This window comes from Homo sapiens, chromosome 2 (assembly GCF_000001405.40).
Source record: "Homo sapiens chromosome 2, GRCh38.p14 Primary Assembly".
NCBI lineage: Eukaryota > Metazoa > Chordata > Mammalia > Primates > Hominidae > Homo > Homo sapiens.
The window spans coordinates 109652146-109667070 of NC_000002.12; the positions used below are offsets into that span (position 1 = coordinate 109652146).

The window sequence follows — 14925 nt, forward strand, 5'->3', positions numbered from 1 at the left end:
TGCTGTCTGTGGGTTTGCTTCTCTTGCCTGCTGTGCTTCTGCTGCGCCACTATCCATGGACTTAAAAAAGGATTTTTGTTTGTTTTTTTTTTTTTGAGACGGAGTCTCGCTCTGTCACTCAGTCTGGAGCGCAGTGGCGCCATCTCGGCTCACTGCAAGCTCCGCCTCCCAGGTTCACGCCATTCTCCTGCCTCAGCCTCCTGAGAAGCTGGGACTACAGGCACCCGCCACCACGCCCGGCTAATTTTTTGTATTTTTTTTAGTAGAGACGGGGTTTCACTGTGTTAGCCAGGATGGTCTTGATCTCCTGACTTCGTGATCCGCCCACCTCGGCCTCCCAAAGTGCTAGGATTACAGGTTAAAAAAGGTTTTGTCTCTCATCACCGTATCCTGAGAAACTTCACGCTGACCAAGGGACCCCTACACAACAAAAGAAGGAAGTCACGTTTCACACGACTATGGATTCCTCCTGCACGTGCACAGCCATGTGGCTGGGTGGGTCAGACAGCACCCAGTTCATGGAGGCAACTTGAGTTACCTACCCATCCAGTGTCCCATGGCCAAGACTTCAGTCTCTACCAGAGGCCAGGAGGAAGCCAGAGAGGTTTCTCAAAAGCATAAATTATAGTTCCCTGTAGAAGCTACGGATTTGCTCTGACTGGTAGAACACAGAGATGTTTCGCGTTCTAGAGATTAGCATTGATATATATTTAGTGTTCAATAAGTCCCCAGTGTCTTAGTGTTTCCCTTTCCCAGATGCACAGTCAACCTGGTAAGGCTCCTGGGCTCGTCTTCAATAAGGGATCAGTGCCCCTATGAGCTAGCAAAGTCCTGGGAATTGAAAGAGAAATAATTGCCTTTTGTGTTTACTAAGGCAGCTTCTGCTGATCAGCCTAGAATTTCTCTGCCTCTATAAATGAAGTAATGCTTTAGGAAGGTGCCAGTTTGTTCCATTTCAAAGGTGACTGTGGCTGGGCGTTGTGGCTCATGCTTGTAATCCGAGGACTTCGGGAGGCTGAGGCGGGTGGATCATGAGGTCAAGAGTTCGAGACCAGCCTGGCCAACACAGTGAAACCCCGTCTCTACTAAAAGTACAAAAATTAGCTGGCCGTGGTGGTGGGCACCTGTAATCCCAACTGCTTGGGAGGCTGAGGCAGGAGAATCACTTGAACCTGGGAGGCAGAGTTTGGAGTGAGCCGAGTTCGCGGCACCCTACTCCAGCCTGGGTGACAGAACTAGATTTCGTCTCAAAAAAAAAAAAAAGTGACTGTGATCTCTGTCATTCACTCCTGTCATGCATGACAGGCACTGCAGCCCCTTGTCTGCTGGCAGTGCTGCTGGCTGCTAGGCGCTGCTGTAGCTTTTCATCCTTCCCACTGGATCAGAAAGCCCATTTTATAGGAATCTCCCACTGTCATTCTTGCAGGGCTGGCCGAGGCTGCTGGCCCTCCCCTCACCAAAGCATTTCTCAAAGCCTTTGTAAAGGGTGTCTCTGAGTCCTTCTGGGTGTGACATAGGTGGTGGGTAAGCGGGTCACACAAAATAATTTCCTTTCAATTTTCTCATATTCTTGAATCTTTGAATTCCTTCCTTGACAATATGCCAGGGAAGTCCTGGCCTCCTTATTTTGTTTAATGCAGTCCACTGTTGGGCCTAGGTTTCAATCAATCAAACAAACAAACTGCTAGGGCCTTTTCTAGCTCTTCAGGTAGCGCTCATCTCCAGAATCTTATTGGTAAATGTAGTCCAGTCCAACAGCAAAGTCTTGCAGTTGCTTTGGCAGTAAGCTGTGTTCTCCAGGAACAGACCTGGGAGGCATGGATCTGACTCTACGGGTCTGGAAGTAATAAGCAGAGGTGATGAATAAGTCTTTAGGAAAACAGGAATTTCCTTGCAAGGCAATTACTCCAGGTGAGGTCCCTGAGCAACAAATGGTGTCCTCAGACAGTGTGGGAGGGGTTATTTCCGCTGGTTAGGAAGCCTGGGTGGATTTGGAGTTCAAGGTTCTCAGATTCATATAAATCCATCCAAATGTCCCCATCTCAATCTCCAGGTCCCACTACCCCCACTAACAAGGTTCTACTCCCCTTACCTAACCTTAAATAAGAGACCTAACAAGGCTGAAGGCTGAACTCATCTTGTAATTTGGAAGTCTACAAAACTAGGTTTGGGGTCTAGTCCTCTGCTTGTGATATAGAAATAAAAAATGTTGTTAGGGTCACCACGGAAATTCTCAATTTCTTTGGTCATGCCTTCAGTTAAGCTAAGAGTTTAAGGCCCTGAGCTTAGCATTTTTTTCCCTTTTCATTATGAGCTCTCTAGTACATGAAGAAGCCAGCCCTTCTTCATTACTACCATATCCATCATTACTGCCATACGCCTCATTACTACCACACCCATCTAGTGCAGCAGCTGCTTATGTCCCAAAGCCTTGCTTTTCACTAGCCCTTCACTGAAAGCAAAGATGACAATTTAAGTCATTGTGATATCATAGAATTGATAGAGCTCATCACTGCTTTCAAGCTCAAATACATAAGCAATCCCAGAATTCCTTGGACTGCTTCTGGGATCATGACTTATGCCAGTTAGGAACCAATCAGGGCAGGGAATACACCTGAGGCTGAACAGACACATCTGGCATAGGAATGGGGCACACAGTTTGCACTTGACGACTTACCAGCTGGGTAATCCTTGGAATGTGGCGTGACCTCTCAGAGTGCTCTAATTTGTAAAGGGAGGTGATCTTATTTCTTTTCTTTTCTTTTTTTTTTTTTTGAGATGGAGTCTTGCTCAGTCACCCAGGCTAGAGCGCAGTGGCGTGATCTCGGCTCATTGCAACCTCTGCTTCCTGGTTTCAAATGATTCTCCTGCCTCAGCCTCCCGAGTAGCTGGCATTACAGGTGCCCACCACCATGCCCGGCTAATTTTTGTATTTTTAGTAGAGACGGGGTTTCACCATCTTGGCCAGGCTGATATCGAATTCCTGACCTCTTGATCCACCCGCCTCAGCCTCCCAAAGTGCTGGGATTACAGGCATGAGCCACTGCACCCGGCTGGTGATCTTTTTTCTCTGTTTTACCAGATATGTCCTGCCAGGTGGCCATGAACTATGTGTCTCCGTTCCCACTGCTTTCAACCACAGTTCTTTGGAACTGGGAGGATGTCAGAACACAGTCGATAGGTGACTGGCCTTGAAGGGCTCTGTCCAGATAGAAAAACTGGTCCAATCAAGTCTCTCACTCAAGAATTGAAATGGGCAAGGCCTGGAAGCTCCTTAGGTTTGGGAAAGTTTTGGAGCCATGGATGAGCTGATGAAGAAGCAGAGGTGACTCATGCACAGGAAGAGGATGGGAGGGGAGCAAACTTGGAGGGGCAGAGACTGGGGAGACTGCGGAGACAGTGAGGCCTCCATCGAGGGTCAGCACCCACCCAGTGTGCATTTGGTTCTGCCCTGTTCCTTCACTTGGGTCCCTGAGAGACCCCTGCATCTTTATTTTAAAGCAGAAACAAACAAACAAAAGCAGAAACAATAACAACAAAAAACCCTCCCTTCCACTTGAACTGTTTGTGTGGTCTCTCTTCCTTAAAGCCGAAAGATTCTGGCCTGGGAACAAAAAGAACACGTCTCCTATATCATTGTATTAAATGAGGAAGCTTGTGGGAAAGCCCAGGTGTACTGAAACAAAATAAGCAACTCGTTTTCAGAGTCAGACATCTTAGGGTTCAAATTCTTGGTCTACCACTTATTATCAATCTGGCCCTGGGCAGCTTCACCTCCCTTTGCCTCAGTTTCCTCAACTGTAAAATGAAGATAATTCTATTTGGAATGCCCTTCTAGACCTGTCAGTTTTGATTTGTAAACTGCTAACCATTCTTCTAAGTCTAGTTCAAGTGATATCTCCACAAATCCTAAGTCCCCAGGGGAGTCCCCTCTCTTCCCTGCCTCAGCAGGATGATCCTATTCTGCCCACAGAACACTAATTTACACATCTGCAGTATCTTTGCTACTGCACCATGAGCCACAGCAGGGGCCATGCCAATCCCCCTTATCCCAATCAGGCATGGCAGAGAGCCTCTCTGAGATGAGGTGCTGGATAAATGTTTCTTGAATGAGTAAAGTGTATACCATCCATTGGAACCACATTCTGTCTTTCTTTTTAATTTGCAACTCCTTTTCTTAAAATTCTGGGGTTTTTTTGTTTGTTTGTTTGAGACAAGGTCTTGCTTTGTCACCCAGGCTGGAGTGAAGTGGCACTATCTTGGCTCACTGCAGCCTCTGCCTCCCAGGTTCAAGCAATTCTCCTGCTTCAGCCTCCAGAGTAGCTGGGATCACAGGTATGTGCCACCATGTCCAGCTAATTTTTTTGTAGTTTTAGTAGAGACAGGGTTTCACCATGTTGGCCAGGCTGGTCTCGAACTTCCAACCTCAGGTGATCCACCCTCCTCGGCCTCCCAAAGTGCTGGGATTATAGGCATGAGCCACCGCACCTGGCCTTTTTCTTAAACATTCTAAAGGAAGCGCAGACTGCTCAGGTGCTTATCATATACGATTATGTCTGAAATGTATCTCACATGATAGCAATTATAAAATTAATTTGCCCTTTGGCGTTAATGAATGTCATGTGAGTATTCTGAGTTTTCTTCAACTAAAACATTAGTGAATGCAGAATAAGACCTTGAGAAGGAAAAGAGATAAATGGAGAGTAGATGAAGCACAGTGTACTGAGTCTTCTAAGATGATGAAAATAATTTAGAAAAAGTAGGGCGGTTCATAGAAGAAATCAACAGCCCCCAATGGAGAAGGGAAAAATGCAGATGGTAAAAATTAACTATAGAATGGGGACAATATTCTGGCCCATTATTTCAACAATTGGGCCAAGAAAATCCATGATATGATTGGAAATATGAAGTCATTTCAGTCAATTAGAAACAACCTCTGGATTCCCTAATTTCATGAATGGCCCAACCCTAGTATCACCTGAGTGCCCAACGGTTATTGACTCTGCTCTGTGGGGGACAGGCCAACATCCTTGCATTTCAACATGCCAGACACACTTTGGGAGGCTAAGGCAGGCAGACTGCTTGAGGTCAGGAGTTTGAGACCATCCCAGGCAACATGGAGAAACCTCGTTTCTACAAAAAAATACAAAAAACTAGCCAGGTGTGGTGGTGTGTGCCTGTAGTCCCAGGTACCCAGGAGGCTGAGGTGGGAGGATCACCTGAGCCCAGGAGGTTGAGGCTGCAGTGAACCGTGATTGTGCCACCAAACTCCAGCCTGGGCAACGGAGTGAGACCCTGTCTCAAAAAACAAACAAAAGCGAAAACATGGCAGACAGCTGTTTATGAAGCAGAATTAGGATGTTCCCAACCATGTTTTCTATATTCTCATAGAGAGAAAATTATAAAAGTGTAATATTTATTTTAAGTTGGAGTGAAGTTTAAATTGGCTATAAATTCCTCAGTTGCATTTAACTAGGAATAAGATTAATATCTTTTAAGCGGGAGGAGGCAATACATTCCCAGAGGAAACTGAACCGATGGAAAGCTCCACAGGCATGAATTAGCTGAGTTTTTTTTTTTTTTTTTTTTTTTGAGATGGAGTCTCACTCTGTTGCCCAGGCTGGAGTGCAATGGCACAATCTTGGCTCACTGCAACCTCCTCCTCCTGGGCTCAAGTGATTCTCGTGCCTCAGCCTTCTCAGTAGCTGGTATTACAGGCACGCACCACCAGGCCTGGCTAATTTTTGTATTTTTAGTGGAGAAGGGGTTTAACGCTATTGGCCAGGCTGGTCTCGAACTTCTGACTTCAAGTGATCTGCCTGCCTCAGCATCCCAAAGTGCTGGGATTACAGGCGTGAGCCACCGTGCCGGGCCTGAGTTTGTTATTATAATAGTTATTTGATGTGGAGGTCTCACCCAAGTTCATAACTTTGAAATTAGGCTGCATCAGAGTTCACGTATAGAACCTGATTCTCACTTTTTTCCTCAATTTAATGATTTCATTCTTAATAGGTATAAATCAGCCGGGGCGGTGGCTCATGCCTGTAATCCCAGCACTTTGAGAGGCCAAGGTGGGTGGATCACAAGGTCAGGAATTCGAGACCAGCCTGGCCAAGATGGTGAAACCCTGTCTCTACTAAAAATACAAAAAATTAGCCAGGCATGGTGGCAGGCACCTGTAATCCCAGCTACTCGAGAGGCTGAGGCAGAGAATTGCTTGAACTCGGGAGGCAGAGGTTGTAGTGAGCCAAGATCATGCCACGGCACTCCAGCCTGGGTGATGAGCAAGACTCCATCTCAAAAAAAAAAGAAAAAGATATAAATCAGAACCACAATATTCTCTTTTTATTTAAACAGACACCACGATATCTAGAGATAAGATCCTTTCAGAACAAGGTTGACTCGTGGGAAAGGATCTTATTAAAACCATTCAGAAATTGGCAAATGACATCAGTGATATTCCAAGAAGGAAATTAGTTAAGAAAATTCAATAAACTCTGGCCAGGCACAGTAGCTCATGCCTGTAATCCCAGCACTTTGGGAGACTGAGGGGGGCCAGATCACGAGGTCAGGAGTTTGAGAACAGAACAGCCTGGCCAACATTGGGAAACCCCGTCTCTACTAAAGAAACAAAAAATTGGCCAGGCACGGTGGCTCACACCTGTAATCCCAGCACTTTGGGAGGCCAAGATGGGTGGATCACGAGGTCAGGAGTTCGAGACTAGCCTGGCCAACATGGTGAAACCCTGTCTCTGCTAAAAATACAAAAACTAGCTGGGTGTGGTGATGAGTACCTGTAATCCCAGCTGCTTGGGAGTCTGAGGCATGAGAATGGCTTGAACTCAGGAGGCAGAGGCTGCAGTAAGCCAAGATCACGCCATTGCACTCCAGCCTGGGTGACAGGGCGAGACTCCGCCCCCCCGCCAAAAAATAAATCAAATAAACTCACAGCCAAGCGCAGTGGCTTATGCCTGTAAGCCCAGCACTTTGGGAGGTCAAGTTGGTTGAATTACGTGAGGTCAGGAGTTTGAGACCAGCATGGCCAACACGGCGAAACCCCATCTCTACTAAAAGTACAAAAACTAGCTGGGCGTGGTGGTGTGTGCCTGTAGTCCCAGCTACTCGGGAGGCTGAGGCAGGAGAATTGCTTGCCTGGGAGGCAGAGGTCGCAGTGAGCCAAGATCACGCCATTGCACTCCAGCCTGGGTGACAGAGATTTCATCCCCCCCAAAAACACACACAAAAAAACAAAAAAAACAAAACTCAAATAACAGCACCCCCGTGGCCCCAGGCTCCTTTCCATCTCAATTGGAGCCCTGTCTTCCTGTGGGGGATGTACTGTGATTTATCCAGGGCTGCAGTGCAGGTGGTCAGTGGTTCGCATGGACGGTGAGAGCAGCTGTGGGTGGGACAGATGGTGGGCTAGGCTGGGGGCTGGACAGCCCCTGCAGCAGCTGCTGAGCAGAAGGAAGATTTTGTCTGGCAGACAAATCTGAAAGCCCAGGGCCAGAGCAAAAACAATTCCTAGGTTAGAAAAGAAAACAAATCAGCGGGGGGCTCCAGATGAGGTATGGACTCTGAGGGGGCCGCGGGGCCGGGAGCCCTGAATGAGAGTGCTGTCTCTAGGCCCCCAGCCTACGATTCCTAGAAGGGGAACAGCAGCAAAGCAAATCTCCAGTCTGGGAGGGCTGATGGTCCAGGCAGCCAGGCCCCGGCCAGGTATGAGGGTTGGACACCAGCTATGGCTCAGTCTCAGGCACAAGCAAATGCCCAGATAGCAAAGTTGGGGCACAAGATAGGGGCCCATGCTGAGCAGCAGGTGCTGAGCTGTTGTCTCAGGCTGGGGTCAGTCCCAGTGAGGCAGGAGAATAAGGCCTGGAGGCAAAGAACTAAGGCCAATTTGTGCTTATTTCCTAGAAATGAATCAAAAGGAAAACCCCACTTCTCCACACCCAATTAGGGAAAGGATCAGAAGCTACTCCCTTTGTACTGTGTCACAAATGAAAAATGGAACGTTCCTCTGATTTTTCCCTTCCTGCAACCAATCAGACTAGTTGGGCCAAGTCTTCATGTATAACTTTGTACTTCACTTCAGCCTCTGATTGGTCACCTCCTGCAACCAATCAGGCTGATTGTAGGCCAAGTCTTCATTTACATAGGGTGTAACCAAGTAACCAATGGGACATGTCTAGAGGGTGTTTACACCCCAGAAAACTCTGTAACCAGTTCTCTTGAGCCACTTGCTGCATCCTGATCCCACTCTGTGGAGTGTACTTTCCTTTCAATAAATCTCTGCTTTTATTGCTTCATTCTTTCATTGCATTGTGTGTTTTGTCCAATTTGCTCAAAACACCAAGAACCTGGATGACTCATAGTCAAGACCCTCCACCAGTAACACCAGAAAAACAAAGGGAGGAAAAGCTGAGCCTACAGGGAGGCATCAAGTAGTCCCCATGCCAGGAGGCAGATGGGGGACTGCTGGATGAGTAGCCAGTTGGCCTGGTGTGGCCCAGGGAGGGGCTGACGGCTGCCAGGAGCCTGAGCCGCAGAGTGCTGGTTCTGCCACCACATGACCTTAGCCAAATCTCTTGGAACCTCATTTTAATTTTCTGAAAAACAGTGATAATAACTTCAACTCCTCCTAACAGTCTGGGTTAAGGTGTCAGTTTCCTTCCCCAGCTCCTGGTGATCCATCTGGCCCTTGGGTGTAGAGAAGGTGCTAGCTGAGTGTCTGTCTTAAGCACTCTTCTCTCATTTTGTGCTTTCTCCTGAATTATCTCTACTCCTATAGCTACAGCTCTAGCTTGACCTCTGTTTCAGACCTCAATGTACTAATTAGGCATCCTTAGGTTAGTTAGGGTTGGCTTATCTGCTAAAACAGATATATGATAAAATAGATAATGGCCTGAACACAAAGGCAATGTATTTCCTGCTCAGCTAAAAAGCCCAAGGCTATGGGCAGAGGGACTCTCTTCCATGCAGTCACTTAGGGACCCAGGTTTATGGAAGCTCTGCCACCTTCAACATGAAGCTTCCTGTTTGCCCTGTCAATGCAGACTAACGGAAGGTGAAGGGGCATGAGGGAGCATTAGTAGAAGGGCTTTTTTTTTTTTTTTTCTGAGACGGAGTTTCACCCTGTTGCTCAGGCTGGAGTGCAATGGCACGATCTCAGCTCACTGCAACCTCCACCTCCTGGGTTCAAGCGATTCTCCTGCCTCAGCCTCCCGAGTAGCTGGGATTACAGGCGCTTGCCACCATGCCTGGCTAATTTTTTGGATCTTTAGTAGAGACAGGGTTTCACCATGTTGGCCAGGCTGCTCTCGAACTCCTGACCTCGTGATCTGCTTGCCTTGGCCTCCCAAAGTGCTGGGATTATAGGCATGAGTCACCGTGCCTGGCCAAGTAGAAGGTTCTATGGGCCAGGAATGGGAGTGTCACAAACTTTTGCTTATATTCCACTGTGGAGATCAGTCATATGGTCATACCTACCTGCAAGGAATACTGGAAAAGGTAGATAAGGGTGAGCCTAGAAAGTGCAAGACATGGGGCACAGTGAGTAGCTGGAAGTCTGCTGCATTTATCCTTGACTTTCAGCTGTCTTCAGGATATATCCCTTGGATGCCCTACAGGTAAACCTGTTCAAAGTCTAACTCATTAATGTCCCCAGTAAAGCCTGCTCCTCCTACTCTATTTCTTCCTCTGGTAATAGTATTATCACCCACCCAGATGCCCAGCTACAAACCTTTGAGTAAGCTTGACTTCTCCCTCTTCCCTAGATCCATCTTCCAGTAAGTTTTTGGTGGTGGCCATAAAGATGCACATTTCATGCCTCCTGCTGCAGGGATCATAATTGGTTGAAGGCCCCAGCTACTGCCCTTCAGGGTCCGTCTCTGTATCTGCTTGCAGACCACCCTTTCCAGACCATGACTGAGCACAAACACCCATTTCTGCCACATGCAGGAGTCTTTCCGAGGGAGACTTTGGCTCAAGGACTCCCCATCGCCTGGCAGAACTTTCTTAGGTCTGTATTGAGTCTGAGACTTTCCTTTGTCCTCCTTCCTTTTCTCTCCTTCACCAAGGTCAGACCTGCATTGCAGTCTGAAAGATCTTCCCACCTTCTCTGGTTCACCCTGTATATTTCTTTCTTTCTTTTTTTAAAAAACAGAGTTTCACTCTTGTCACCCAGGCTGGAGTGCAGTGGCGCGATCTTGGCTCACTACAACCTCTGCCTCCCAGGTTCAAAGGATTCTCCTGCCTCAGCCTCCCAAGTAGCTGGGACTACAGGCACCCGCCACCATGCCTGGCTAATTTTTGTATTTTTAGGAATTTTTGTATTTTATAATTTTGTATATTTAGTAGTAGATTTTGTATTTTGTATTTTTAGCCACCATGCCTGGCTAAATTTTATATTTTTGTGTTTTTAGCCACCATGCCTGGCTAATTCTTGTATTTTTAGGGTTTCATCATGTTGGCTATGCTGGTCTTGAACTCCTGACCTCAGGTGATCTGCCTACCTCAGCTGCCCAAAGTGCTGGGATTATAGGCATTAGCCACCATGCCCGGCCTCACCCTCTATATTTCATAGGTGTTTCCCTCAGTGAATCTCTTGCAAATAAACCTAACTCCTCATTGGTATCTGCTTCTCAGAGGATGTGAACTAAAGCAGTTTTCAAAGTTGTCCTCTTTTCTATTCCCACCGCCTTCTCCCTTGTGCGATTGCCATGGCTTCCTAATGATCCCCTGGCCTCCAATGTGGTTCTTCTCAAGCAGAGCATCTGTACTGCCACAGTGCTCCACTTCCAAAGTAGATATTAACACTCAGCTGATCAAAAGACTTCCATTGCTTCCACCTGCCATCTATGGACCACACCTGAGTTGCTTGGAACATCATTCAATTTAACCTTCACAATCTCTCCTTGGCCTTGACTCCACCTAGTGTCCTTCCCTCTCCCACACTTGGACAACTAGCTTTCCCTGAAGGTACTTTGTGCTACTCCCTCTACCTGAAATGCTCCCATTGATTTCTCATTCTATCAAAATCCTATTCATATTCATTCATTAGAGCTCAGCTTAAAACCTCCTTCATCCTCAAAGACCTTTTTCCTCCCTCTTGTGGGCTCTCACAGCACTTTGCACATACTCTGTACCTTGTATATCTCTATTTAAGAGCATGTCTATCTCCTCCATTAGCTGGGGATATTTGAAGGCAAGGAAGGTGTTTCATTCATTTGTGCATTCATTTCAGCAATCCACTGTGGAGTACCTACTGTGCCCTGCTTCTTGTCCTGGGTGCTGGAAGTAGATCAATAAAACAGATAAAAATTCCTACTCCTGTTGGCTTCTTTCTAGTGTATACCCAATGTTGAGTTGTGCTCTTGCATAGAGCAAGTGTCTCACAGTTTGCTAAATAACTGAAAAGGAGATCATCATTTTAAATTCCCTTACTGATCATATACAGAGCTCATGGCAATGCTGAAACTCACAACTATATTAGGAAGATAAAATGGAATTATAGCTGGAATGTCTGCAGAAATTGCAGAAGAACCATATAAACAGAAGTGAATTTAGTCTAAATTAAGGCCAGGAACACTTGAGGCAAAAGGTGGGAAGGTTGATAGAACACCTAAATTAAAGGGAACAGCCTCTGTGTTTGAGGCTAACAAGAATCCACACGCCAGCAAAGAGAACAGACGTGTCTAGGAGTCATTTCCCGAAATAACCCCTCCTCCAGTTGGCTTTGAGTGAAAAGCTCTAATGAGACCAGTGCCTCCCAAATGTCGCTGGACAGTAGCCAACTACAGCACAGTCATGGCTTCAGACACATGGACTCAGGGCTGGAGGCACAGGGTGAAATCTCTGCAGAGACAGCCCTTCATTCTCTTCTTCTGGGATACTTCCAAAGCCAGTGGATCACTCCTATGTAAAGCAGACTGCTCTATTCTGTTGCTCAGCAGCCCTAATTACATTTACTCCTCTTCTACTACCTCTTGGTTTTCACCCATCCTTCCCATTGAAAAAGGTCTTTTTACTTTGCAGCAAAATGCCATCACTCGATTTCCGTAAAGATGCATACGTTATAGAAATTCAAACAACAATATGAATTTAAACTCACCTTAAATGTTACCAGCCAGAAATAACCTTTATGAATATTTAGCAAAGATTCTTATAAAAATCTCTTGGCCAGGCACAGTGACTCACACCTGTAATCCCAGCATTTTGGGAGGCCGAGGCGGGCGGATCATGAGGTCAGGAGTGCGAGACCAGCCTGGCCAACATAGTGAAACCCCATCTCTACTAAAAATAAAAAAATTAGTCTGGCATTGTGGCCGGCACCTGTAATCCCAGCTATTCAGGAGGCTGAGGTGGGAGAATCACTTGAATGTGGGAGGAGGAGGTTGCAGGGAACACAGACCACACCATTGCACTCCACCCTGGGTGAAAGAATTTTAATTATTATTAAAATAAGTAAATAAATAAATAAAAATAAAAATATCTCAATGTGGGCCGGGCACGGTGGCTCACACCTGTAATCCCAGCACTTTGGAAGGCCAAGGCAGGTGGACCACCTTAGGTCAGGAGTTCAAGACCAGCCTGGCTAACATGGTGAAACCCTACCTCTACTAAAAACACAAAAATTAGCTGGGTGTGGTGGCAGACAACTGTAATCTCAGCTACTTGGGAGGCTGAGGCAGGAGAACTGCTTGAACCTGGGAGGTAGAGGTTTTAGTAAGCCAAGATCACGCTATTCCACTCCAGACTGGGCAACAAGAGCAAAATTCTGTCTAAAAAAAAAAACCAAAACCAAAATCAAAAACAAAATGACAACAACAAAAAAACTCAATGCATACCTACACATAGAAAAAAATAATTATACCAAAATGAGATATCACAATTCTACTTTTAAATTTTAATTTTAACCTTATTATCAAAAAACCTTTATGGAAGTACAGCATACATACATACTACCAGCTTGGGAACAAATTGAAATTGCAAATGCAATAATTATCAGAAAATGTCTTTCTTTGCTTGTGCGTGATGTGGTGGCAGCAGGTGCGGCTTTGAGATGCAGAATGATGCTGGTGAGTTCGTGGACCTGTACGTGCCGTGGAAATGGTCCGATAGCAACTGCATCATTGATGCCAAGGACCACGAATCCATCCAGAAGAATGGGACCAAGGTTGATAATGTCGCAAGCAGGTTTTTTTTTTTTTTTTTTGAAACAGTTTCGCTCTCGTTGCCCAGGCTGGAGGGGAATGGTGGGATCTTGGCTCACCACAACCTCCACCTCTGGGTTCAAGTGATTCTCCTGCCTCAACCTCCCAAGTAGCTGGGATTACAGGCACATGCCATGACGCCCAGCTAATTTTGTATTTTTAGTAGAGACAGGGTTTCTCCATGTTGGTCAGGCTTGTCTCGAACTCCTGACCTCAGGTGATCTGCCCGCCTCAGCTTTCCAAAGTGCTGGGATAGCAGGCATGAGCCACCGCAACTGGCCTGATCGCAGGCAGGTTTAACAGCCAGTTTAAAATGTATGCTACCTGCGGGGCCATTCGCAGGATGGGTGAGTCACATGACTCCATTTTCCAATTGGCCAATGCCAACAGATTGTATTAAAGAACTTTTGACTGGAGAGAATCATGGATGTCAAATATTTGTCATAAATAAATAGTAAGAACCTAAGAAAGGCCGGGTGCAGTGGCTCATGCCTGCTATCCCAGCACTTTGGAAGGCCGAGGAAGGCAGATCACCTGAAGTCAGGAGTTCAAGACCAGCCTGGCCAACATGGAGAAACCCTGTCTCTACTAAAAATACAAAATTAGCTGGGTGTGGTGGTGGGTGCCTGTAATCCCAGCTACTCAGGAGGCTGAGGCAGGAGAATTGCTTGAACCTGGGAAGCGGAGGTTGCAGTGAGCCAAGATCATGCCATTGCACTCCAGCCTGGCAAAAGAGACAGATTCTGTCACAAAACAAAACAAAACAAAAAACTAAAAAAAAAAAAAAAATTACTGCAAAATAAATACATCTATTTCTGCTAGAAACAGAAGTCTCACAGGCATTGCTTTTTCTATAAAATAGTTAATGAAATTTTGGAGCACCTTACATGAATTTGTATTAAAACATACTTAGGATGTGGTGCCCATTGTCCAGCGTGTGGTGCCACTTTTTTTGTGAGAAGGAGATTTCTCTGAATTCTTTAATTCTGAAGCAATATGTGTTCCTAAACAGATAATATGGAATATTATTGTGAATTATGTCCTTAATGATAAATTTAAGGGCATAGGAGAAATATTATCTGTATAGTTGACGTTGGTAAAAAGACTAGAGCACAACTTTCAACTTACTAACAACGTTTCTGAGGCAGTTAAGAATTTTGATTATCTTAATTCATGAAACATAAAACTTAAATTAACCTGAAAATTCAATGTACAGTGTTTGCCCTTGTCTGTTGTTCAAATCTCACTTTTTAAAGCCAGGCTCCTATCAGAAACAGAATAAAGTTAAAGCTCTTAATTAGAACCAGAGATGAAGACATGTTGGCTGCTAATTGGAGGAAAAACTATGTCCTTAAATCCAGAGAGGTTGACAGTCAAGATGAAAAGCTAGATTATTATACTCATTAGGCTGAAAAAAATAATCACCTCAGTGGCCCAAAGACAAGGTCTGAATTTAACATGAGAGGAAACTGGATCTATGCATCTGCTGTGTTGAGACCTCATAGTTTTATACCATAGAAATGGGCACGGTTGGTTTTCTGGAAGAGTTGCAAGTATAAGCTATTTGTATTTGTTCCTCTGCCTAGAATTGTGGGTGTCCACTGAGGCAGTCCATATTTGATGGATGACTGAGTCCTGATTTCTGAGAGTCAGCTGACTCTAGTGTTACTGATCTTATGGAAAAGTCAATCCAGTGAGAAGGTTTTGTGGG

At 45.7% G+C, this 14925-nt stretch overlaps 1 protein-coding gene across 1 annotated transcript in view; it reads left to right on the plus strand.

The window, feature by feature from the left end:
- The window catches only part of RANBP2 (RAN binding protein 2), a 1122820-nt gene that overhangs the window by 932664 nt on the left and 175231 nt on the right, over positions 1 to 14925 (plus strand). The gene's annotated exons all lie outside the window — the stretch shown is intronic.